Source organism: Homo sapiens, chromosome 14 (assembly GCF_000001405.40).
Source record: "Homo sapiens chromosome 14, GRCh38.p14 Primary Assembly".
Taxonomy (NCBI): Eukaryota; Metazoa; Chordata; class Mammalia; order Primates; family Hominidae; genus Homo; species Homo sapiens.
The window spans coordinates 104,671,050-104,692,311 of NC_000014.9; the positions used below are offsets into that span (position 1 = coordinate 104,671,050).

General features: G+C 58.6%; 1 protein-coding gene and 1 non-coding gene across 12 annotated transcripts in view, besides 12 other annotated features; one reads left to right on the top strand and one right to left on the bottom strand.

Moving 5' to 3' along the window:
* Nucleotides 5,873-6,430: an enhancer, noted in NCBI's record as "H3K27ac-H3K4me1 hESC enhancer chr14:105143259-105143816 (GRCh37/hg19 assembly coordinates)". NCBI's record gives its function as "activates a minimal SCP1, AML or CMV promoter by ChIP-STARR-seq in primed H9 embryonic stem cells {active_cell/tissue: H9 hESC(primed)}" and the evidence as "EXISTENCE:reporter gene assay evidence [ECO:0000049][PMID:30033119]".
* Nucleotides 6,431-6,987: an enhancer, noted in NCBI's record as "H3K27ac-H3K4me1 hESC enhancer chr14:105143817-105144373 (GRCh37/hg19 assembly coordinates)". NCBI's record gives its function as "activates a minimal SCP1, AML or CMV promoter by ChIP-STARR-seq in primed H9 embryonic stem cells {active_cell/tissue: H9 hESC(primed)}" and the evidence as "EXISTENCE:reporter gene assay evidence [ECO:0000049][PMID:30033119]".
* Nucleotides 6,645-6,700, bottom strand: MIR4710 (microRNA 4710). Its single transcript, NR_039860.1, has one exon. It is a non-coding gene; the product is annotated as a microRNA 4710 (primary transcript).
* Nucleotides 7,513-7,562: a silencer, noted in NCBI's record as "silent region_6189". NCBI's record gives its function as "represses an Ori minimal core promoter by ATAC-STARR-seq in GM12878 lymphoblastoid cells {active_cell/tissue: GM12878}" and the evidence as "EXISTENCE:reporter gene assay evidence [ECO:0000049][PMID:35858748]".
* Nucleotides 9,775-10,331: an enhancer, noted in NCBI's record as "H3K27ac-H3K4me1 hESC enhancer chr14:105147161-105147717 (GRCh37/hg19 assembly coordinates)". NCBI's record gives its function as "activates a minimal SCP1, AML or CMV promoter by ChIP-STARR-seq in naive and primed H9 embryonic stem cells {active_cell/tissue: H9 hESC(naive and primed)}" and the evidence as "EXISTENCE:reporter gene assay evidence [ECO:0000049][PMID:30033119]".
* Nucleotides 9,976-10,025: an enhancer, noted in NCBI's record as "active region_9119". NCBI's record gives its function as "activates an Ori minimal core promoter by ATAC-STARR-seq in GM12878 lymphoblastoid cells {active_cell/tissue: GM12878}" and the evidence as "EXISTENCE:reporter gene assay evidence [ECO:0000049][PMID:35858748]".
* Nucleotides 10,084-21,262, top strand: part of INF2 (inverted formin 2) — a 41,403-nt gene continuing 30,224 nt past the window's right edge. For 5 of the 11 annotated variants that reach the window (NR_190061.1, NM_022489.4, NM_001426862.1 and 2 more), the window contains exon 1: nt 18,569-18,690. The gene's annotated coding sequence lies outside the window, so the exon portion shown is untranslated. Of the gene's footprint in view, nt 10,534-17,242; nt 17,524-17,936; nt 18,197-18,568; nt 18,691-21,262 lie in introns of those variants that run through there. The other 6 variants (NM_001426863.1, NM_001426865.1, NM_001426868.1 and 3 more) reach the window with 3 other exon arrangements.
* Nucleotides 10,386-10,675: an enhancer, noted in NCBI's record as "active region_9120". NCBI's record gives its function as "activates an Ori minimal core promoter by ATAC-STARR-seq in GM12878 lymphoblastoid cells {active_cell/tissue: GM12878}" and the evidence as "EXISTENCE:reporter gene assay evidence [ECO:0000049][PMID:35858748]".
* Nucleotides 16,563-17,550: an enhancer, noted in NCBI's record as "H3K27ac-H3K4me1 hESC enhancer chr14:105153949-105154936 (GRCh37/hg19 assembly coordinates)". NCBI's record gives its function as "activates a minimal SCP1, AML or CMV promoter by ChIP-STARR-seq in naive H9 embryonic stem cells {active_cell/tissue: H9 hESC(naive)}" and the evidence as "EXISTENCE:reporter gene assay evidence [ECO:0000049][PMID:30033119]".
* Nucleotides 17,551-18,540: an enhancer, noted in NCBI's record as "H3K27ac-H3K4me1 hESC enhancer chr14:105154937-105155926 (GRCh37/hg19 assembly coordinates)". NCBI's record gives its function as "activates a minimal SCP1, AML or CMV promoter by ChIP-STARR-seq in naive H9 embryonic stem cells {active_cell/tissue: H9 hESC(naive)}" and the evidence as "EXISTENCE:reporter gene assay evidence [ECO:0000049][PMID:30033119]".
* Nucleotides 18,233-18,492: a silencer, noted in NCBI's record as "silent region_6190". NCBI's record gives its function as "represses an Ori minimal core promoter by ATAC-STARR-seq in GM12878 lymphoblastoid cells {active_cell/tissue: GM12878}" and the evidence as "EXISTENCE:reporter gene assay evidence [ECO:0000049][PMID:35858748]".
* Nucleotides 18,593-18,682: a silencer, noted in NCBI's record as "silent region_6191". NCBI's record gives its function as "represses an Ori minimal core promoter by ATAC-STARR-seq in GM12878 lymphoblastoid cells {active_cell/tissue: GM12878}" and the evidence as "EXISTENCE:reporter gene assay evidence [ECO:0000049][PMID:35858748]".
* Nucleotides 18,703-18,942: a silencer, noted in NCBI's record as "silent region_6192". NCBI's record gives its function as "represses an Ori minimal core promoter by ATAC-STARR-seq in GM12878 lymphoblastoid cells {active_cell/tissue: GM12878}" and the evidence as "EXISTENCE:reporter gene assay evidence [ECO:0000049][PMID:35858748]".
* Nucleotides 19,033-19,082: a silencer, noted in NCBI's record as "silent region_6193". NCBI's record gives its function as "represses an Ori minimal core promoter by ATAC-STARR-seq in GM12878 lymphoblastoid cells {active_cell/tissue: GM12878}" and the evidence as "EXISTENCE:reporter gene assay evidence [ECO:0000049][PMID:35858748]".

Genomic DNA, 21,262 nt, shown 5'->3' on the forward strand with positions numbered 1-21,262 from the left:
GATTTGAAGACACTTTACCAAAGAGGATAGTCCAGCGGTCAGCAAATATGTAAGAAGATACCCCAATTTCCTTGGTTATCACGAAAATGCAAATCAAATCACAAAGTAATATCACAACCCACAGACTGGTCAATATGAACAAGGTGAACACTTCCAGTTATCAGCAAGGCTGTGGAGTAACCAGAACCCTCACACATTGCTCATCACGTGAAGGTTGATACAACCACTATACAAAAGTGCTGGATGGTAACTATTAAAGCTGAACACAGGTAGACCCACTGCCAAGTTTCACCCGACAGAAATGCTTGCACCTGTTCACCAAAGACAGGTACTGTGTGAGCACGTTCATGGCCACACAAAAGCCAGGCGCCAGAAGCCACTCAAACGCCCATTCGTTGTAGAAGGGATAGATGAGTGGGGGGGCTGCTCACCCCATGGAATGGCGCTCAGCAGTGACAATGACTGATGTAGAATCTCGTGCAACAAGGGCGACCTTGCAGACTGTACGCTGAGTGGAGGAAACCAGACACTGTGCGATCCCCTTTTAGGAAGGGGGCAAATAAGATGCAGTTATCTGGCCAGGCACGGTGGTTCACACCTGTAATCCTGGCACTTTGGGAGGCCGAGGCGGGTGGATCACCTGAAGTCAGGAGTTGGAGAGCAGCCTGGCCAACATAGCGAAGCCCCGTCTCTACTAAAAATACAAAACTTAGCCGGGCATGGTGGCACATGACTGTAATCCCAGCTACTCAAGAGGCTGAGTCAGGAGAATCACTTGAGCCTGGGAGGCGGAGGTTGCAGTGAGCTGAGATTGCGCCATTGCACTCCAGCCTGGGCAACAAGAGTGAAACTCCATCTGAAAAAAAAAAAAAAAAAAAGATACAGTTATCCTGGGGATGCTGACGGGGAGATCTGGGGGTAGACACAGTTATCCTGGGGATGCTGACGGGGAGATCTGGAGGTAGATACAGTTATCCTGGGGATGCTGACGGGGAGATCTGGGGGTAGACACAGTTATCCTGGGGATGCTGACGGGGAGATCTGGGGGTAGATACAGTTATCCTGGGGATGCTGACGGGGAGATCTGGGGGTAGATACAGTTATCCTGGGGATGCTGATGGGGAGATCTGGGGGTAGATACAGTTATCCTGGGGATGCTGATGGGGAGATCTGGGGGTAGATACAGTTATCCTGGGGATGCTGACGGGGAGACCTGGGGGTACAGGGGCTGGGGATGGTCTAATTCCGTCTGGATGTCGGTTAGAGGAGTGTGTTGAGTTTGTGAAGACGTCCAGGCGGGGCTGGCTGCATCTTTCCATATCTCCGTTATATGTCAGTGAAAAGTCAGCTAAACACAATCATGTATTTAACCAGCACATTTGGGAAGCAGAGGAAGGAGGGAACGTGGGAGGAGGCCTGAGTGGTGCTTCTCATTGCCCTGCAGAATCAGCAGACCTTGATAATTGTAAAATATGTGGTTACATAAACATAATGACCCAGGCACTTAATGTTTTCCATGGTCATTTTTTTAAATCTAAGGAGATCATTAAGGAACCAGTATCTTTTGTTGTGGTAAAATATTTATCTGAAATGCAGCAACTCTTTCCATTTAAATCCGAATGAAATAAAGTTTGATATTCTATTTTGAAATAAAGCCTATCATCGTCTTATCCCACTCCACTTCTCAGCTACTCTTCTCTTCTTCAGCCCTCTTCTCTGTCTCTCTACATAAGTACCAAGCAAGACATCTGGAATAAGGTTTAGCAATTTAATGATGGTTATTTCTTAGTGGTTGGATTTATTTATTTTTTTCTTTCTTTTTTTTTTTTTTTTTTTTTTGAGACGGAGTCTCGCTCTGTCGCCCAGGCTGGAGTGCAGTGGTGCGATCTCAGCTCACTGCAAGCTCCGCCTCCTGGGTTCACACCATTCTCCTACCTCAGCCTCCCGAGTAGCTGGGACTACAGGCGCCCACCACCATGCCTGGCTAATTTTTTGTATTTTTAGTAGAGACGGGGTTTCATCTTGTTAGCCAGGATGATCTCGATCTCCTGACCTCGTGATCCGCCCGCCTCGGCCTCCCAAAGTGCTGGGATTACAGACGTGAGCCACCGCGCCCGGCCAGTGGTTGGATTTAAAGTGACTTTTAGAGACTCTTTTTTGTACATGTTTGCATTCATTCGCGTTTTAATAACAAGCATTTTTCAAGTTAATAAAGCTATTCTGTTGTGCTCCATCACTAGCTGGGTGACCTGGAGCAAGTTTCTCACCCTCGCTGAGCCTTGGTTTTTGCAGCTGTAAAATGCAGATACGAATATTACCAAATGCATAGGGTTTTTTTAGAAAGATTAAATTAGATTATTTTTCAAAGTGCGTATAGAGTACAGGAGGCCCTTAATACACAATAGCTGCTATTATTATTGCCAAACATAAATAGAGGAGAAAACAACAAAGAGACTCAGCCCTCCCTTCAGGAGGTGATAGTCTGGCAGAAAGAGGCGAGAGCTAACACCCAGATGGAGCCTCATGAGCAGCCTACTGCCCTGGGCGGCCACAGGCATGTCGGGAGGGTAAGCAGGAGCCCGACGGCTGAAGCCTTGGGGGAACTGAGGGGTGGGTCAGAAGTGGGGGACCGCTGCACATGCCCTGCAGACTCAGAGGGTCTGAGTCAGCATCCTGTCCTGAGGGTGTTGCCGGACTGGGGAGTTGGGGAGACCCTGGCCTGCTGGGCCAGCGGAGGACCTCCTGTGGGGGCTGTCTGCAGGAGCGTGATGGGTTGGAAAGCCCTGCTGTCCACAGAGACTCCAATATGAGGAATGGGTGCCTTGGACCTGGTGCTGTAGACAGTGACAGGGTTTGGCTCTGTGTCCCCACCCAAATCTCACCTCGAATTGTAATCCCCATGTGTGGAGGGAGGGACCTGGTGGGAGGTGACTGGATCAGGAAGTGGTTTCCCCCAGGCTGTTCTCCTGACAGTCAGGGAGTTCTCTTGAGATCTGATGGTTTAAAAGTGGCAGTTTCCCCTGCGCTCTCTCTCTCCTGCCACCTTATGAAGAAGGTACTTGCTTCCCCTTCACCTTCCCCCACGATTGTAAGTTTCCTGAGGCCTCCCCAGCCATGCGGAACTGTGAGTCAATTAAACCTCTTTCCTTTATAAAATACCCAGTCTCAGGCAGTTCTTTATAGCAGTGTGAAAACAGACTAATACAGACAGTATCAGGAGAGGCTTGAGTTCATCCAGTGCTATTGGAAGACTCTGTTGGATGGAAGATATTGAAGGCACAGCCAAGGTGTGGAGGCTCTTGAGAAGACAAAAGGTGCTCAGCACACACGTGGAGCTCTCTCCAGAGAGGTTTGCTCAACTCCTGCAGACAGGAAGAGCTGCCCTGTCCTACAGCCCTCTGCATGCGTGATGTCCAGGCATCTCCCACCTGCATCATTTCACCCCCTGACAGCAAGCACCTTGGGGTGGGGTTGTCAGATAAAATACAGAACTCCCAGGTCAATCTGAATTTCAGGTAAACAACAAATACATTTCAGTACAAGTGTGTCCCATGCAATATTTGAGACATGCTGGTGCCAAATATTGCATAGGACATTATATTAGCCCATTCTCACATTGCTATAAAGAACTACCTGAGGCTGGGCCCAGTGGCTCGCACCTGTAATCTCAGCACTTTGGGAGGCCAAGGTGGGCGGACCAATTGAGGTCAGGAGTTCGAGACCAGCCTGACCGATATGATGAAACCCCATCTCTACTAAAAATACAAAAATTAGCCAGGCATGGTGGCAGATGCCTATAATCCCAGCTACTCAAGAGGCTGTGACAGGAGAATCGCTTGAACCCGGGAGGCGGAGGTTGCAGTGAATGAAGATCATGCCATTGCACTCCAGCCTGATCAACAAGAGCTAAACTCCGTCTCAAAAAAAAAAAGAACTACCTGAGACTGGGTAATTTATAAAGAAAAGAGGTTTAACTGGCTCATGGTTCTGCAGGCTGTACAAGAAGCATAGCTGGGGAGGACTCAGGAAACTTACAGTCATGGGGGAACAGGAGGAAGAGAGCAAAGGGGAGATGCCATACACTTTTAAACAACCAGATCTCCTGAGAACTTACTATCAGGAGAATAGCAAGGGGGAAATCACGCCCATGATCCAGTCACCTCCCACCAGGCCCTTCCTCCAAGACTGCAGATTACAATTTGACATGAAATTTGAGCAAGGACACAAATCCAAACCATATCAGACATACTTATCCTAAAACTGTATTCATTGTTTATCTGAAATTCAAATTTACCTCTGTGCCCTGTATCTTTATTTAGTAAAGCTGCAACCCACTTGGGTGATGCTGTGCCCTTGCTTACCTGGTACCACCACTGCCAATCCTGTGCCCAGAACATAGCAGACTTTCAATTAATGTTGAATGGATGTGGGACAGGTGGATGGGGGATAGATGGATGGTGGGTGAATGGGTGGATGGATGGATGGTGGGTAGATGGGTGGATGGATGAATGGATGGATGGATGGGGTGGATGGATGGGTGGATAGGTGGTTAGATGGATGGATGGTGGTAGGTGAAGGGATGAATAGATGGATGGATGGACAGATGGATAATGGGGGTGGGTGGATTGGTGGGTGAATGGATGATGGATGGGTGGATCGGTGGATGGGTGAGTGGATGGATGGGTGGATGGATGGTGGGTGAATGGGTGAATAGATGGATGGATGGACGTAGGGGGTTGGGTGTGTGGGTGGAAGAGTAGACAGATTGGTGGATAGATGGGTGGATGCCTAGATGGGTAGGCGAATGAATGGGATTTGGATTCAGTAAGAGGTTTTAACACTAAGCTGTCTTAAATGCCCAAATGACAGGGCCAAGGTGGGAGTAAATGAAGTGCCAGCTGATGGGAAAACTCCCAGCTCTGACACCTCTCACCACCCCTGCGACTCTCCTGCTCAGATTCTGAATCTGTAAAATGGGAATGCTTAGTGGTGCTCCAGCAAGAGGAAGCTCCATGTGCTGCAACACAAGTTATATGTCCTGACATGGATGCCTTGCTGGGGGTGGTGGGGGGTGATTCGCCTGCAGACGTCAAAGCCCTGCCTGCCAAGATCCTTGACTTCCCAGCCCCAACCAGGCATCACTCAAAGGTGACCTCTCCACTCCCAGCACCAAGGAGTTGCCTTTGGACCCTGACCACCCTGATGGCCAAGGCTAGGCTGGCCAGCACCTCCCCAGCAGCCCTTCAGAGGCCTCCACAGCCCTGTGTCCAGTCTGACACAAGTGTGTCAGGTGGTCATGAGCACCGTTCCCTTCCAGCAAGGCCACCTCTTCCTGTGGGGAAGGGCCTCAGGTAGGCAGGCCGGAAGCACCTGCAGACCCCGCACTCAGAAACTGCCACCCCGCTTGTTGAACCTTGTGTTTTAGAAAGGGTCTTCCTTTCACAGCATCTCCCTCTCCCCAGTCCTCCTCCCAGAGGCTGTTTAAGGGTGGGCGTGGGACCCCCAGTGTTTCCAGGGTTATTCCTAGGGATGGACTTCTTATAAACAATATTGCCCCTCTTCCCAGGGCCCCAGGGCAAGGAGCAGCGAGCCTGGACCTGCAGCCACTGTAGCCCCAGCCTGGGGGAGGGGACAGCACAATCAGGGTGAAGTGGAGTCAGAGGTGGGTGTTGTGGAGGGGGGAGCGGCGCGGGGACAGCTGTCCTGGCCCGGCTACCTTCCCTGCCCCCTGTGACATCAGCCCATCAATTCCCTCCCTCTTTTGCCCTCACTAGGTCGGGTCTCTGGCCCTCGCAGCCACAAGGTTCCTGACTCCTGTGTCCTTGTGAAAGAGCCACACACAGCAGCAGGGGGACTGCCCCCGCCAGGACCAGCCCAGGATTCCTGCTGGATTCCGTGTGTCAGGACCACCCATTCTAGCAGAGGAGCAGGAAGCCCAGAGAGGCAAATCACGCGTCTAGGAAGCAGAGAGGGATCCCCGCCCCAGGGCCGCCTGAGGAGTGAGAGAGCTGAGGCTGAGGTCTGCTGTTACTAGAGCTGAAACCTACGGACCTACCCAGCTCCCGTTTTCGCCGCTGGGGAGACCCACGGGGAGATCAAGGGGCCTGGGGGGGGGGGGGCCCTCCCACCTTGGACGTTGGTTGCCACATCTGCACGTGACGGGGAGAAACGTGTCATTCCAGGAGGACAGGAGGGCGGGGCAGCTGAGGGGGGATCCCCAGATATAGGGGCATCCCCAGGACCCACCCCCGTCCTGTGGAGGCAGGAGGAGGGGCCGCACCCCTGGGTTTGAAAGGCAGCAGCCGCCTTCCAGAGGGAGCGCTGGCGGGACCTTACCGCACCCCCTTCAGAGTAGCCCCCTCCCCCCATTGCTGCCCTGGACTCTGCGGCCAGCAAGCTGGAGGTTCCTAGGGCTATGGGGGACAGGAGGCTGTGGCTGGCTGAGGACTTTGTGTCAATGTTCCCACTGCCTCTGGGGACTGGGGACAGCCAGGCCACACGCGGGGGCAGTGGGACTTAGCACCTGAGCCTGCTGAGCTCCTGAAAGCCCTGGAGGTTCTCGGTTCCCCGAGGTGGGGCAGGGAGGAGGGAGCCCCTGGTGTGGCCTGGTTCTGCTGGGCGGAACACTCAACACTCCCTTCCCTGACGAAGAGGCGAGAGCTGCTTCGGGAAGAACCACCTGCCCTCACCCCACTCGGTCTGGGACAGGCAGGGCACTGGCCTGCCGGGAGCCCCCGCCCCTGTGCCTGCAGCGCTGCTCTGCGCCCTGCTCCCTTACTCCACCTCCTTCCACCTCCTCCCCTTCCTCCTCCTCCCAAGGAGGAGGCAGATGGTGGTGGAAACTCTGCTTCCTCCATTTTCCGGAGCGTGACTCAGCACCGCAGCTGCCGCCTCGGCCCCCACGCAGCAGCGCGAAGCCTGCCCTCCCCTACAGCGGAGCCCGGGGACTCCCCAGAACACCCCTCCCGCAACTCATCTGGAGAACGCAGGGCTGCGGGCTGCCGAGCCCACCTTCCCGGAGCCCCCAGCCCAGCGGACCCCTCCTAGGCAGCTAATTTCCCGCCCACCCGGCGACGGCAGAGGACGTGTGCCGGGGCGGAGTGCGGGCAGGTGGGCGGGGCTGCAGCCCCAGATCTCAGGGACACACAGAGGCGACCACGGGGCTTCTTAGCTTCTGGGTGGCCGCCCCGCCCAGGAGACTGGGCTGAGCGAAGGGGAGGGGAAGGCCTAGGAGGCACCCCAAGAAAGGACCCATCAGAAAACACAGGGAAGTAGGAAAATAAGAGAAATTTCCAGAAGCAAGAGGCTTGGCTCATGCGGAATGCCGCAGAGCCAGGCCTCAACCCACCGGAGAATCTCTGAGAACACTGACTGCAGCCCACCACGGTGGCCCCGGGTCCTGCTCTGAGCTCCTGTCGGCCCTCGTCCTCCCTACATCAGAGCCTCCCCTGGGAGCCCCAGAGATCCTCTCAACTCCTTCTCGGGACAAAGGAACCCTCCCTGCTGAGAGCCCCTGGTGGCTCCTCCCACTCCCCCACTCGGCTCCCTCTCTCCTCCTCACTCCCTTTGTGGTGGGCTTGGCCCAGGAGAGTCCCGGCACCCCCAGCTGCTCTCTGTAAGCCCCTGGGGGTGGCCAGCTGGGGTGGGCTCCCCACTCCTGCCTGGCCGTAATCAGGGAGCCGTGCCTCGGGATGTGGGCACACACTCGTGCACACGCACACCGTCTCAGCAACTGGGCTCTCCTGAGAGTCCCCTTCCCAACCCACAAAACAAGACCTGCCAGCGCCCCCACCCCTTCCTCCCACTTCTGTCCCCCTCCCCATAGCCCTAGGTACAGCTGCAGAAACTGAGGCTCAAAGGGGTCAAGTCCCTTCACTCCATGTGGCAGAGCTGGGGTGGTCAAGAGACCCCAGACCCCAGCTGAAGCCTCCCGCCCTGACATGGGAAGCCGCTCCTGTGGGGCCTGAGCAGGTGCCCAGGACCAACGGGCCAGCCCAGGTGAGAGGCTTCCTGCCAGGAGGCCCTGAGGGTGACCTGGCCAGGGACACCAGTGCTCAAAGGTCCGGGTGGGTCCCAGCCCCAGCTCACCCTCCGTTTGCTGGCAGTGGCCCCTCTACTCTCCCCCAGGACTCCCGACAGCTCTGCAGAGAGGCCTCATCCCCACCCAGCTGGGCAGACTCCGACCTTGCCACCGGGTGCCTTCCCATTCTCCTGGCTGCCAGCCACTCCCCTCTTGCAGCCTCAGTTTCTGCATCTGTAGGTTGGGAGTAATGAGATTCCCCAGCCGGCCCGCTGGGAAGGCTGGGCATCCTGGGGGAGGGAGGGGGAAGGGAATGCCAGGAGCTGGCTGGAGCCAGGTCAGGGAGGCATGGGCCCAGCCCCAGCCGCAGCAGCCACTCTGTGGGCCCAAGCAAGCCCCGGGCCCTGGGCCTGTCCATCTGTAAGCAGGGTGATGGCACTGCCGGGCGAAGTGGCTGAGGGTGGGCCCAGCCCAGCTGCCCTCCCTAGGCATTCATCAGGCCCAGCGCTGGGGCAGGGCACCCAGCCCACACCACATGGATGGGGATGAACCTCCAGCTGGGCTGCCCGACAGGGACAGAGGCAAACAGGGCTCCCAGGATTCCGGGGCCAGCACAACTCTGTGGCTGCCGTAGTGTCAGCTCCAGGCCCCAGAAAGGACTGCAGGGGACCAGGCTGCTCCTGGGTGACCCCAGATGTCCTGGCTCTTCTCTAGGGGATCTTGGGCTGAACAGGGGACTGAGGCCCCAGAGGAAGGCAACACAGGGTCAAGACGGATCCCTGAGGGTCCCCAGTCATTTGTAAATTACCTCTGCCCTCTGCAAAGTGTGAATGCTGATTCCTCGGCCTCTGCCCAAACATATGCACTCTCTCAGGTTCACGCTCACACATCCCCTTACCATTCGGCAGACCCCACCGGCTCTGCCCCAGCTCACCCCCTCCACCTGGCCCTACCATCCTCTGCCCCTCACCAAGGGGGACCCTCCAATCCAATCCCATAAATCAGGGTCCCCGAGCTGCACTCAAAGCCTCCGTCACCTTTCCGTGCTTGTGGAACAAACCCCCCCTCCGTCTTCTGACTCTCACCCCTCCCACCTCAGTGTGTGCAGAGGAGCCTTCCCTGCACACAGCTGAAGTGGCCCTGTGTCCCCTACCCTGGACTTTGGCCAGGCCATTGACCAGGCTGCTGCCTCCACCCATGCCTTGGCATCTGGGTCATTTTTTATTGATGGTAGCTTGGCCCGACTTGGGGGCTTCACACACACCTCCCGTCCAGCAGCCCTAGGAGGTGGGACTGTTATCACCACCCCTATCTCAGCAGGCAGCAGAGCCAGGACCCAGACCGGCCCAGCCACAGCACCCTCCCACTGTACCACGGGACTGCGCTGTTCACAGGGCCACTCCTGACCTCTGGGGAGTCCCTCCAGGTAGGCCAGGCCAGGCCTGTGCTCTGTAATGCAGTCCACGCAGGGCTCCCTGCTGCCCGGGGCAGGGCGGTGGTCCGACAGCTCCCACCCCTCAGGGCCCGTGCACCCGCAATGCCCAACCTGCCCAGCCCACCCAGCCCAGCCACCGTCAGAGGGAGGTTGGCGATGACTCAGGCCTTGAGTCAGCAGCATCGGATAAGGATGCAGCCAACCCTCTGCCAGCATAAGGGATCCCCAGACAGCCCCGAGCTCTGCTAGCTGGGCTTGTGGGGACCCCTGGCTGGAACCGAACCAGGCTCATCAGCGCTCAGGAGCCCGGGAGCCACCTCCCCGGGAAAATTCACATGCACACACACACGCACACGCGTGCACACAGAGGAGGCCTGCCATCAGGGTGGGTGGGGCTGGACTAACACCAGCCCAGGGAAGAGAAGCCAGAGATGGTGGGGCGCGGTGGGCAGTGAGGCGGGGTCTCAGCTGGAGGGGCTCACTCTGACTGTGGAGCACCCATGTGCCTCCTAAACAGAAACTCCACACAGGCCAAGGAAACAGAGCTACCAGCTGACTCACTCTCCCAGCAAACACCAGCTCCTCCCCGAGCCAGGCCCTGGAAGAGAAGTCAACATCACGAGCTGCCATCTGGGGGGTGGCACCAGGCTGTGAAGGATCCACAGACTGGCATATGCAGGAGGAAATGGGGCGGGCGAGGAGTAAGGACCCCAAAAAGCAGGGGTAGGGAAGGGCCCTCCCAGCGCCCCACTGTAATAGGGGCCTCATCAATGCCCCATGCTCACTGAATAAAGCACTGCCAGCGAAAGGTGAAAAGAGGAACAAAGAACATTCTCCTGGACGCCACCCACAGAAAGCCACGTGCAGGCTTGGCCCTCACCTTGGGGACCTTGGACACGGAGCTGGTTATGTCACATCTGGCTCTCAGAGCTGGGGCAGCGTCTAGGAGGCCTGATGTAGAAAGCACTCAGCTAAGCCCTAGTTACCGGCACACGGGCACCAGCGCCCCCTCTCAGCAAACTCCACGTCTTATGAAATTAGCACTGGATTTCCACTTCAATTGGAAAATATGGCCAAGGTAAGAGATCAGGAACGACAAGGCCAAGCTGGGGTAGCCGAGAAAGCAGAGCAGACACGGGGGCGGAGAGGTGGCTGCAAGCATCTGAGTGCAGGAGGCACAGGCCCCTGAGGTCCCGGAGGGCAGCACGCTGGTGCAGAGCCGGGACAGCCTGGGGTTCACTCACTGGAGAGGCAGGGTGGGCGGGGCAGGTGAGGATGGGGGCTGGAGCCCATGACATCCCCTTGGTTGCTGAGCATGGCTGACCCCTGGCCACACCCGGCCTGGACGTTGAAGTCTAACTGGGGAGCCAGGCAGGGAGCCAGGCAGGAAACCGGATGCAAGTGGAGATTCCAGGCTGAGGCGCTGTGGGAAGGAGGGGAGCTGTCACTCTCCCAAGGCGGGAAGTGGGAGGGGCTGGGAGTCTCCAGGGAGGGGAGGAGGGCCTGGAGGAGTTCCCTGGGGTGGGGGTCCCAGAAGAGCCAGCAGCCTGTGCGGCGGCATGGGAAAGACCCCAGTGCCTGGCGAGGAATTGGCACAGCCAGTGTATGTGGAGTCAGATAGGGGTTTGGGGTTTGGGGTTATTTTTAACCCGTAAGTCTCCCTGCTATTCTACAGGAGAAAGGGAACGCTGTGCCGGGCGCTCAGGAAGATGCAGGCAGGAGGCAGCAGTGTGGGGAGGGACAGGGAGGGCCTAGGGGCTGGGTCAGAGCCTTGCCCAAGGGGCTTTAGCGGGGAAGTGCTGGCCTTCCCACCCCTCCTCTGGAATCTGTCACCTCCCACCCTGGAAGAGCTCAGGAGCAAATGGATTCCTTTCCATGAAAAAAGCATAGTGCCTGGGGCTAAGCAAAGCCAAGACTGGCAGATAAGGTGCCCCAGATGAGCAGGCAGCTGCCTGCAGTGGGGCGCGGGGCAGGGCCAGGAGGCGGGAGGGCGGCAGGGAGCAGGGACAGCCATCCGGCCTTTGGGATGGGCAGCACCCCTGGAGGCGTGGGGAAGGCAGAGCGGGCTGCCTGGCCTGCAGGCCAGGTGAGGGGAGAACGCAGGCCAGAATCCAGCCATAACCTGGCTGCAGGTCCCATCCAGGTGGGAAGAAAGAGTCTGATATACTTCCAAGCTAGCAGTGAAACTAGGAGGTTCTGTAAGAACTGGGGAATTATTTACCCTAACTCAGGAATGCTCACCGTGAAACCAAGCCCTCACCTAGGGGAAGGGCCACCCCAGCAGTGGCCACTCCTAAAATCCTCACGTCCCCCCCGGACAAGTCTAGCCTCCAGGATGGAAGAAAGTCAGCCAACCCTAGGATTATCACGTCTGGGTTGAACTGAGGGGTCTTCTGTGCATGCAGCCTGCGCTAGTGGCTGGGGCCTCCGCAATGTTGGGTGTGCCTGGGATAGCTCAGAGTAACACGGCTATACGGCACTCAGGGTTGGAAGGGGAGCCAGGCTCCTCTGGCTCTGAGCTCAAGCGGTCCACCCTCCCGAGCCTCCCAAAGTGCTGGGATTACAGGCGTGAGCCACTGCTACCTTAATAAACTAAGTGTTAATGTTGAAAACCCAAGGAGCAGCAAAGGTCCTCAAAGACACAGAGACCTGGGGGAGGGGTCTGCGGGTGGCTGCAATGGGGGAGGGGAGGGGTGGAGGGGAGGAGGGGCCCTGGGGAGGCAGCACAGACTGGTTTGTAGAGTGACCCCTCCGTGGCTTCCTGGTGACCCTTCCAGAATAAATCCCAAGCATGCATCCTCCTACGTGCCTCAGCCTGGGGCTGCCACTCCCTGCCTCCCACCGTCCACTCCAAGAGCCTAGCTCCCCTGGGTGCCTGGGTCCCCCACCAGGGGTGTCAAAGCAGAAGGCTGGCATCAGTGACCAGCACACCTGAAGGCCCTGGAGCCGTGGGGCAGGGAGGGAGGTGTTCAGGGAAAGATGGGAGGGTAGAGGGGAGAGTGAAGGAGAAGGGAGAAGGCCCGCAGGGGAGGGCAGACAGTCGCAGTGGTGTCCTCATTCCAGTCACCATTCCATTCATAAATACTTCTGAAACCCGCCCCCCTCCCCACCACACACACACAGACACACACACACACACACAAATTACCTCCGGAGACTTTGGAGACCTACAAAGTCTTGGCACTACATCTCTTCAAAACACAGTCCAGTGGCCAAAAATCACCTGCAAGACATTCTAGACTTTATTTCCTTCCCTCCAAGATCATCAGGCAAGATCCAATTCATCAGCCTACAGGGCCTGCCCTGAGCCCTCTCCCCCTCTCCCCTTCTCTGCCGCCCCACCCCTGCCTCTTCTGAGTCTGCAGGGTTCAAGGCCAGAAGCAGAGCAAGTCAGAACACAGCTACACGCAGGCAGACTATGGGTTGGGGTGCGGGTGGGTCTCAGGCACTTCCCTGCTCTCAAAGGAGCACCTCCAGGGAGCCCATCTGGTGCTCCCTCCAGCTCCTCAAATTCCCAACACCAGGGTTGCAAGGCCCAGTGTCTTCTCACCTCGTTAGGTGGAGAACCCCTTCTTTAAGCAAAAGATGGCACGGACCCCCGACATAAGACAGTTCAAAGCTGAGCGGCTCTCCCCATCATGCAAGTAACCTGCGTGCCGCCACGGGAAACAGCACGCATCCCATCTGGACTCCCACCAGACAACTGAGGCAACCGAGAAGGAGGCTGGGGAGGGACAGCTCGAGGGCTCACTGGAGGTCAGCAGGGAGGTGGACTGCGTCTCCCGAGGGCCAGCACTGGCTTAGCCTGCTCAGTGAGGTGCCCGAAGGAGGCCCACCAGCTCTGCCAGCACCCGGCCTCTGCACCTCAGCTTTCAGCGGATAGGTTTGTGCAACGAAATATTTCATAGAAATCAAGAAACATGAGTGAACGATGCACACCACCGCGTGGATGAGTCTCAGAGACTGTGGAGCGAAAGAAGCCAGACACAAAGGTTGACATTTACACGCAATCCTAGAATGACGGCTCTATGGTGGCAGAGAGGAGAAAAGCAGTTAGCTTTGGCAGGTGCCCACGGAGGGGGCTATGCAATGGAACTTTCTGGGCCCTGGAGGTGTTGCAGAGTTTGCTATGGGTGGTGGTAGTTACGTGGGTTTCTATGAATGTAAAAACTCTTGGTGTGGTAGACCCAAGCTCTGGGCACCTCACGCATGCCATGCAGCAGCTCGATCTGTGACAGCGAGTCCTGTGTTCCATGATATGGCTGCAAACACTTGACAGAGTGAATGCCGAACCTCTGCTCCTAAGGGAAATAGAGGGCCAGGTTCCTACGAGCCTCTGCTCCAGCCTTTTCAGCAACCAATCAGTACACAATAGAGTTATTTATGTGTTTCTGTTAATATATGTCACTAAACTCCCGGCCAAGAGCACTACAACTCATGCCTGTACAGAGCCTGTCCAACACATGTATTTTCTCCATAGGACACATCATCTCAAAAGCAAGTATTGATCTTATTTTATCTCATTTTCAAGAGATGCAGACTGTTCTTAAGCAAGTACTGGTTTTAGGTTTACAAATACATTTTAGCGAGTAGGCAAATTTGCAAGTACAGAATCTGTAAATAATGAGATTCTACTGTATGTGTGTGCAATATTCAAATGAAGAGGACAGAGCTTCCTGCCTGACACAAGCCCCTGACTGACTGCCCCACCCACCGTCCCTTCTAAGAGCAGCAGCCTGGTCCCAGCTCTTGCCTTCCCTCCTCAGACCAGGGATAAGCCCTGACCAATGTCTACCTCCTGCAGCCAGACACAGACAGGCTGACTCAGGTGCTCTTGGAGTTTGAACTGAGAAATGCAAGAGAAGCTTGCAAAATGCTGAGAGGCTCCACAAGGGGCTGCTGAAGCCCCAGCAGGCAAAGCTGCCAGCTACAGAGCAAAAAGCCAAGGGAGGGGCAGGGATGTTGGAGGAAGGACCTGGCTGGAGGTGACTGGGGGCGGTCGTGTCCTTGTCAGCAAGCATAGAGCAGAACAGCTGCCCAAGGTGCCACAGCTGGAAGGGTGAGTGGGTGGATGGGTGGATGAAAGGGTGGGTGGGTGGGTGGATGGGTGGATGAATGGGTGGGTAGGTGGGGGGATGGGTGGATGAGTGGATGATGGCTGGGTAGGTGGATGGGTGGATGAGTAGGTGGATGGATGTGTTGGTGGATAGGTGGGTGGGTGGATGGATGAATGGATGGGCAGATGGATGGATAAGGGTGGGTGCATGGGTGGATGAATGGGTGAGTAGGTGGGTGGATGGGTGGATGAGTGGATGATGGGTGGGTAGGCCGATGGGTAAGTGGATGGTGGGTGGATGGATGGATGGGTGGGTGGATGGATGAATGAATGGGCAGATGAATGGATGAGGGTGGGTGGGTGAGTGGCAAATGGGTGGGTAAGTGGGGGGATGGGTGCATGAGTGGATGATGGGTGGGTAGGTGGATGGATGGATGGGTAGGTGGGTGGATAGGTGGGTGGGTAGGTGGGTGGGTGGATGGACAAATAGATGGGCAGATGGATGGATGAGGGTGGGTGGATCAGTCGGTGGGTAGGTGGTTAGATGGGTGGATGAGTGGATGATGGGTAGGTGGATGGGTAGATGGATGAAGGGATGGGCAGATGGATGGATGAGTAGATGATAGGTGGGTAGGTGGATGGGTGGATGGGTAGGTGGATGGATGTGTGAGTGGATAGGTGGGTGGGTGGATAGATGAATGGATGGGCAGATGGATGGATAAGGGTAGGTGGATGAATGGGTGGGTAGGTGGGTGGATGGGTGGATGAGTGGATTAAGGGTGAATAGGTGGATGGGTAGGTGTATGGATAAGTGGATGGACAGATGGGTGGGTGGATGGATGAATGGATAGGCAGATGGATGGATGAGGGTGGGTGGGTGAATGGGTGGGTAGGTGGGTGAACAGACGGATGAAGTGTGGGTGTGTGTGGGAATGGATGGATGAATGGGTGAATGGGTACATAGGTGGGCAAGGTGGGTGGACATGGGTGAGCAGGCATGTTTTCACTTACTTCATTCTGTAACAATGTCAGAGATCATCTCAGGGCACCACAGTAGGATGCAAAATAAAATCTCAAAAGGGGAAAAAAGATAAAAAGCATTCTGGGTGCTGAACTGATGAAGGAAATGAACCCATGGCCAGGCTGCTGCTCAGGTGGACCCCAGGAAGCCCTTCTGGGCCTGCAAGTGGCCGCCTGCTGCATGCAGGGCTGTCCTGACTGCACGGCGGCGCCAACATCAGGCTGGGAGGATTTCTCTCAGAACGCCCACACCTGCCTGCCTGTTTCTAGCAGAACTCAAGCTGTCGGTGCCAAGGCCTGCTCTCCCCTCATCCCAATCTTCCAGCAAGAGGCAGAGGCAAGCTCTCCACAGGCCTACAGTGGCAGGGCCACTCTTGCACTCTGTGCCAGTGGCCAGGAACATGTGGCTCCGCCTGGGTGTGTCACAGTACCAGCCTGTACCTGCACGACCCTGTTCTCAGGCATCTGGGTACCTGCAGCTGGGGGCCGGCACTTGTGTACCCGGCTCCGAGGAAGGACCGACACCCAGGAGGGGAGGCTCCAGGCAGGCCATGGCTTCCAGGAAGCAGCTCCGGAAGCCGCAGGCAGTGGCTGCAGGTGGTGTGTTTCTGAGGCCAAATCGGTCCTCTCTTCAACCCCAGGGCCAGGAAGCAAGCTCAGAATAGGGCCAGGATGGAGTCTGGGAGCGCTGGAGGTACAGAGGGTTGAGGGTGAGCCACTGAAGGAGAAGAGGAGGGGGCCTCTGTATGTCTCAGAAAATCAGTGCTCAAGCCGGGTTGAACCCTGCTGCCCCGGGCATGGTGGGTTCAAGCCTGACGGAAAACCCCCTTTCAGTGTCCACATTTCCACCCTCCCAGACCTCTGACCTCGGCCTCCACTCCACACACACACACACACATACACACACACACACACAGACACACACTCTTAATCAGGGCCCAAAGCCCTCCTCTGCACTCCCTGCCGACCCCAGGGACTTCTCCAACCTCTCTCCAACTAAATCACATTCACCCCACCTTCTTCACCCTGCTCCGGCCTGTGCTGGCCTCTCTGGACCAGGTGTGCAGCTCGGAAGCACGACTGGGTGCAAGGGAGACAGCCCCAGGCAGGAGCGGCCCTGGGGGCGCTGGGCCTCCCTCCCCCATCAGGGCAGGAAAGGTGGACCCCTCGCCCACACCTGACCTCCTACTCCAGCCTCTGAGTAAGGCTCAGGACTCTGACTTTCCCCCAGGCAGGTGGACAGGGGAGGGGGCTGCAGGTCAAAGCTCACTCCCCACCAACCTCCTCACATTCCTCCATTCACTGGATCAACAAACACACCCACTGCCCAGCACCGCTGCCAGGCATCAGCTCCCAACGCAGATGAGTCAGCCCCGCCCGTGCCCTCCAGGGTGGGGTGGTACCAGGGCAGGCACCAATGTTCGGGTCCAGGAGTGCACCAGGAGACCCAAAGCCCAGCTTGAGGGAGGGCAGGAAGGCCTTCTGCTCTGGAAGGGGCCCTGGAGCCCGGTGTGGAGGGCCGGAGGCCGGCCTTCCAGGTGCATTCCAAGAATTGCAGAGTGCCTGTCTAGGAGCAGCGGCCGCCCAGGTTGGAGGGTGTCCAGTGAGCGCCTGCCTTGGCTGGCTCCTCAGGCACACCCGGGGCTGTGGCCTGCAGCTGCTCCTGCACTGGGGCTGAGCCAGCAAACTTCCGGGGCTGGGGCTGCTGGGCAGGGCAAGGTCCGCACAGGGAGCAGACAGACGCAGCCTGCAATTCGGCGCTTATCCCCACCGGAGCGGAGGCACACCAAAGCCAAAGGACACGCAGCTGGCCTCAAAGCAGAAGCTGCATCGGGGCTGGGAAGCCATTCAGGAGCCCTTTTCTCTCCCCTCGCCCTCACCCTGAGCCCTGGCCGCCACGGCCCACACAGCAGGCCCTCCGGAGAGAGATGTCAGGACTCCGAGTGGAGACACTTTATCCGCATGTTCTTGACCCTCATACAGCCCTTACGGGTACTTATTCTATTTTACAGATGGGGAAACTGAGGCTCCACAGAGTCATATCCGAGCCTGAGGCCGCACAGGGAGTGCTGGCGCCGGTTCTCAGGGCAGGGGTTGTGTCTGCTCTGTCACATGTCACACGGGGGCTCCCCCAGGCCTGCCTTCCTCTGCCCTCCCTCTAGCTGCCAGTGGCCCCCAAACCCCAGGCCTGGTGCGCTGCTTCCTGCAGCTCTGACTGAGGGTCAGACGTCAGAAGGGACTTCCAGAGCTGGGGTCTGGCTCTCATCCAACCAGGCTGGCTTTCAGAGCCGACTATGGGCACGCCCCATGCTGGTCAATGTCGGCGGTGGGGGGATGGGTGCCCCCCTCAATCTAGGAGACAGATGAGGCCGGACAGCAGAGGGGTGGCAGAGAAAACCCACCCCATTGCGACACCTCCGCGGCCCTCATGCAGCTGTCTCCACCAACCGGCGAAGTGCGGCTGCCCAAGACCGCCGAGACCCCATCAAGGGTGGAAGGGGGTCAGGCAGGGCTGCGGAGAGGAGGCCACATGGGTGGCCTGGTTGATGGGTAGGCTCTCTCTCCCCAAAGCCTGGGAAGAGCCATCTCTGCTGAGGGATCCCCGAACGCGGGGACTCCGGATCCGGCTGGCTGGAACGGGAGTCCCGGGCCGGGGCAGAGAGAGGTGAGCGGCGCCTGGGAGGCCAGTCCCACCGGAGGATAGGGGTGTAGGTGGACGGGAGGCGGTGGAGGGCAGGGACGGGGCGGACAGTGGGGGCTGAGGCGGGAGACGGCCCCGATCTGCGCGTCCCACCCCCATCTCCGCCCACCAGGAGCCAGGCCAGCAGGGACCGCGAGGGGGCGGCCAGGTTATTCACGGGAGTGGGGAGACCCCTTAAAGCGCCCTCAGGGACCGGCCACAGTGGGCGGGGCCACCCCCAGCCACCCACCTCCCCCCCCAGGCCCCGCCCCCGGCCCGCGCTCGCTCCCCACGTGGCCGCTGACGGGCGGGGCGGCACCTCCTCTTCCTCCCGCCCGCCCCGCCCGCCCCGCGCCCGCCAGGAGCCACCGTCCGAGCCTTGCGGAGCGCGGCAGTGGGCGCCGGCTGCCCGCAGCCCCTGACCCGGCCCCGGACGGAGCGCCGGCCGCACCACCGCCCTCTGGCCGTTGCCTCACCGGGTAAGTCCTTGGCCTCGGGGTCCGCTTGGAGCTTCAGGGGAAACTGAGTCCGGGAGGAGGCAGGGGCGTGCTTGGGTCCAGGAGCGAGGTTCCGGGCTGCGGCGTGTGTGCCCAGGTGGCGGCGGGCGGTCCGGCGGCGCAGGGTACAGTTCCCGGGCGGGGACCCCAGGGCGCCCCTGGCCCCCCCGGCTCCGCGCGCCCCGCTCGGGACTATGGTCCTCCGCGCCGAGGCACCGCCCGAGCGCGCACTGGCCGCAGAGTGGTGGGCCCAGGGTCGGCCGGGCCTACTCCCAGGGCAGGCGGGATTTCCGCGCCTCGCGGCTGCCACATCCTGACCATGAATCAGCCACAGTTGGGAAAATAAACTTCAACTTCGGGTCCGCCGCCCGGGTGGCACCCCGAGGTGCGCGCCGGCCTGCGGCCCCACCCTGACTGCTTGGCTTCCAGCTGCCCACGCGCAGGTGGGCGCACAGGGAGCCCTTCCCACCCCGCAACCGCTGGCAGGCTTAGGGGAATCAGCCTCCATCACAGCTCTCTGTTCCTTTTGGGTGGGGTAGGATCCAATCCCTGTACGCCCCCAGACCCACCCGTCAACCCTCTAACTGGGGAGTCGCCCCAGGAGTGACCATGACTAAGGAGGGGAAGGCGGGGTGACCAGCTGTGTCCCTGACCGTCCCCAATGCCCCCTGGGGAGCACAGGCGTGGGGGGTGGTCTGTCTGTCTGGGCCTTCTGGGGCTCAAGCTCCCCACCCAGGGCTCCCGCAGCTCAGCTGTGACCACAGCATTACTGCCCACTCCAGCTGGACACACCAGGAGGCAGAGAGGCAGAGACCCTGCCCAGGCAGGGAACCAGGAACCCAGGAACCGGGCCAGAGGTCAGGCACACCCAGAAGGCGCTGGACGTAGGAAATTCCCTTACTGCCAGCCCTGCCCCTCCGTCTGGCACTGGAATGGAGCAGGATACTCGCCCTCTTCCGGCCTCAGTTTCCACATCTGCACTCTGAAGGGTGGGACAGCAGCTCAGGCTGGGACCTGCTCCCTGCCGCCCTGCACTGGGAAGGTGGGGTCCCAGAGCAGTGCCTCAGACCCCGAGGGTGCCACCCAGCCAGGGGCTTTTGGGGTGTCGGTGCTCAGCCCCCAGTGCAGCAAATAGTAGCATTGGGTTCCAGGCCTGGGGTCTGAGACCTCACACTGCTCCCACCCCTACCAGGGCAGCAGCAATTTTCTGTTCTAAAAGCCAGGTTGGTGCAGTGGGCCCTGCCCAGGCCCTGCCCTCCCATCCCTGGACTGTCATGGGCCCTGCAGCCCGGCAAAGGGGATGTCGCTAGTGGGGACGGACCAAGTGGCCAGGTGCGACTGTAGCCTCCACAGCCAGGGCTCCTGAGTTAACCTTCAGGTGAGCGCCCACTTTGTGGAGGAGCTGACGGCTGTCAAGCGAATGACACACACCGCACATGTGGGGACGTGGAAGCTCCTACCTGAAATAGACTCTGCGCCTTCCATCAAAGTGCAGTTACTTCCTGGGTTGGAAAAGTTATGCGGTTCATGCAGGCTGCGGGAGGGGTGGGTGGTGACTGGAAAGTGATGCGGTGCTGCCTGTGGGTGTGGGGCAGGACGCAGCTGGCCCAGCTCTGGACGGGGACAGTGAAGTAAGCTCAAGCCCCTGGCTTTTTGCTGGTGCCTGGAGGTCAAATTTCCCTGTAGTCAGGAATGAGACCTGACTCCCTGCTGCCAGCCCCTCCCCTACCTCCATCTTGCAAACAGCAGGTGTCTGATAGGTGTGTGGTTCATGGCCCAGTGGACACATTACATTGGAGAAGGCACACCCACCTCTGTTTTCAGGATGGTGGACGGGAAGGCCGGGAGGTGGAGGCCACATAGGAGCCAGTCTCTGGAGGGTGGTCCCCAGGGGCCACAGCAGACCCAGGCCTAGTGGACACCTAAAGTCAAAGACTAAGTTCTACCAACGGTGGGAAGGAGAGAGGGCAGGGGCACGGGCTCCCCGTCGCTGGAGGGGTGAGCAGGGTCCAACCACCTGGCCCCCTGTTAGAGAGGCTTCCACTCCTGCCAGCCTCACCCTAGGAGGGAGAGTCCTGCCTGGTCTGCCTCTGAGCACCCAGACAGCCTGGGTCCTGAGCTGGGGTGAGGTCTGCTCACACAGCTGCCCCCCAGCCCAGTGCCGGTATACCCTGGCAACCACCAGGCCAGGAGAGCAGGGCAGACCGGTGGTGCCTGTCCTCTCCTGAGGGGCCGTCCTCTCTCACAGCCCTTTCTAAGCTGTAATTAAATAAGGAACCACAGGGGTTGCTTAGGGTCGCCCCTCTGAGGGCTCATGTCAGTCCCCGAGGGCCAGCCTCAGGCCGGGTCTGTCCACTCACCATTCACGCCAGCCTGGGCAGGGTCTGTGTGCTGGGTGAGTGGGTGAGGAGGAAAGGAATGAGCCAGCCTGCGGGGTCCCTCCGCACGGTCTCCCACCCTCATCCCTCCCAGTGCGACGTGGGTCCTGCAGGAGCGTTCATTTCACAGGTGAGGCGCGGGACAGTCGGTGCCATTTTACACTCAGTGCCATCCA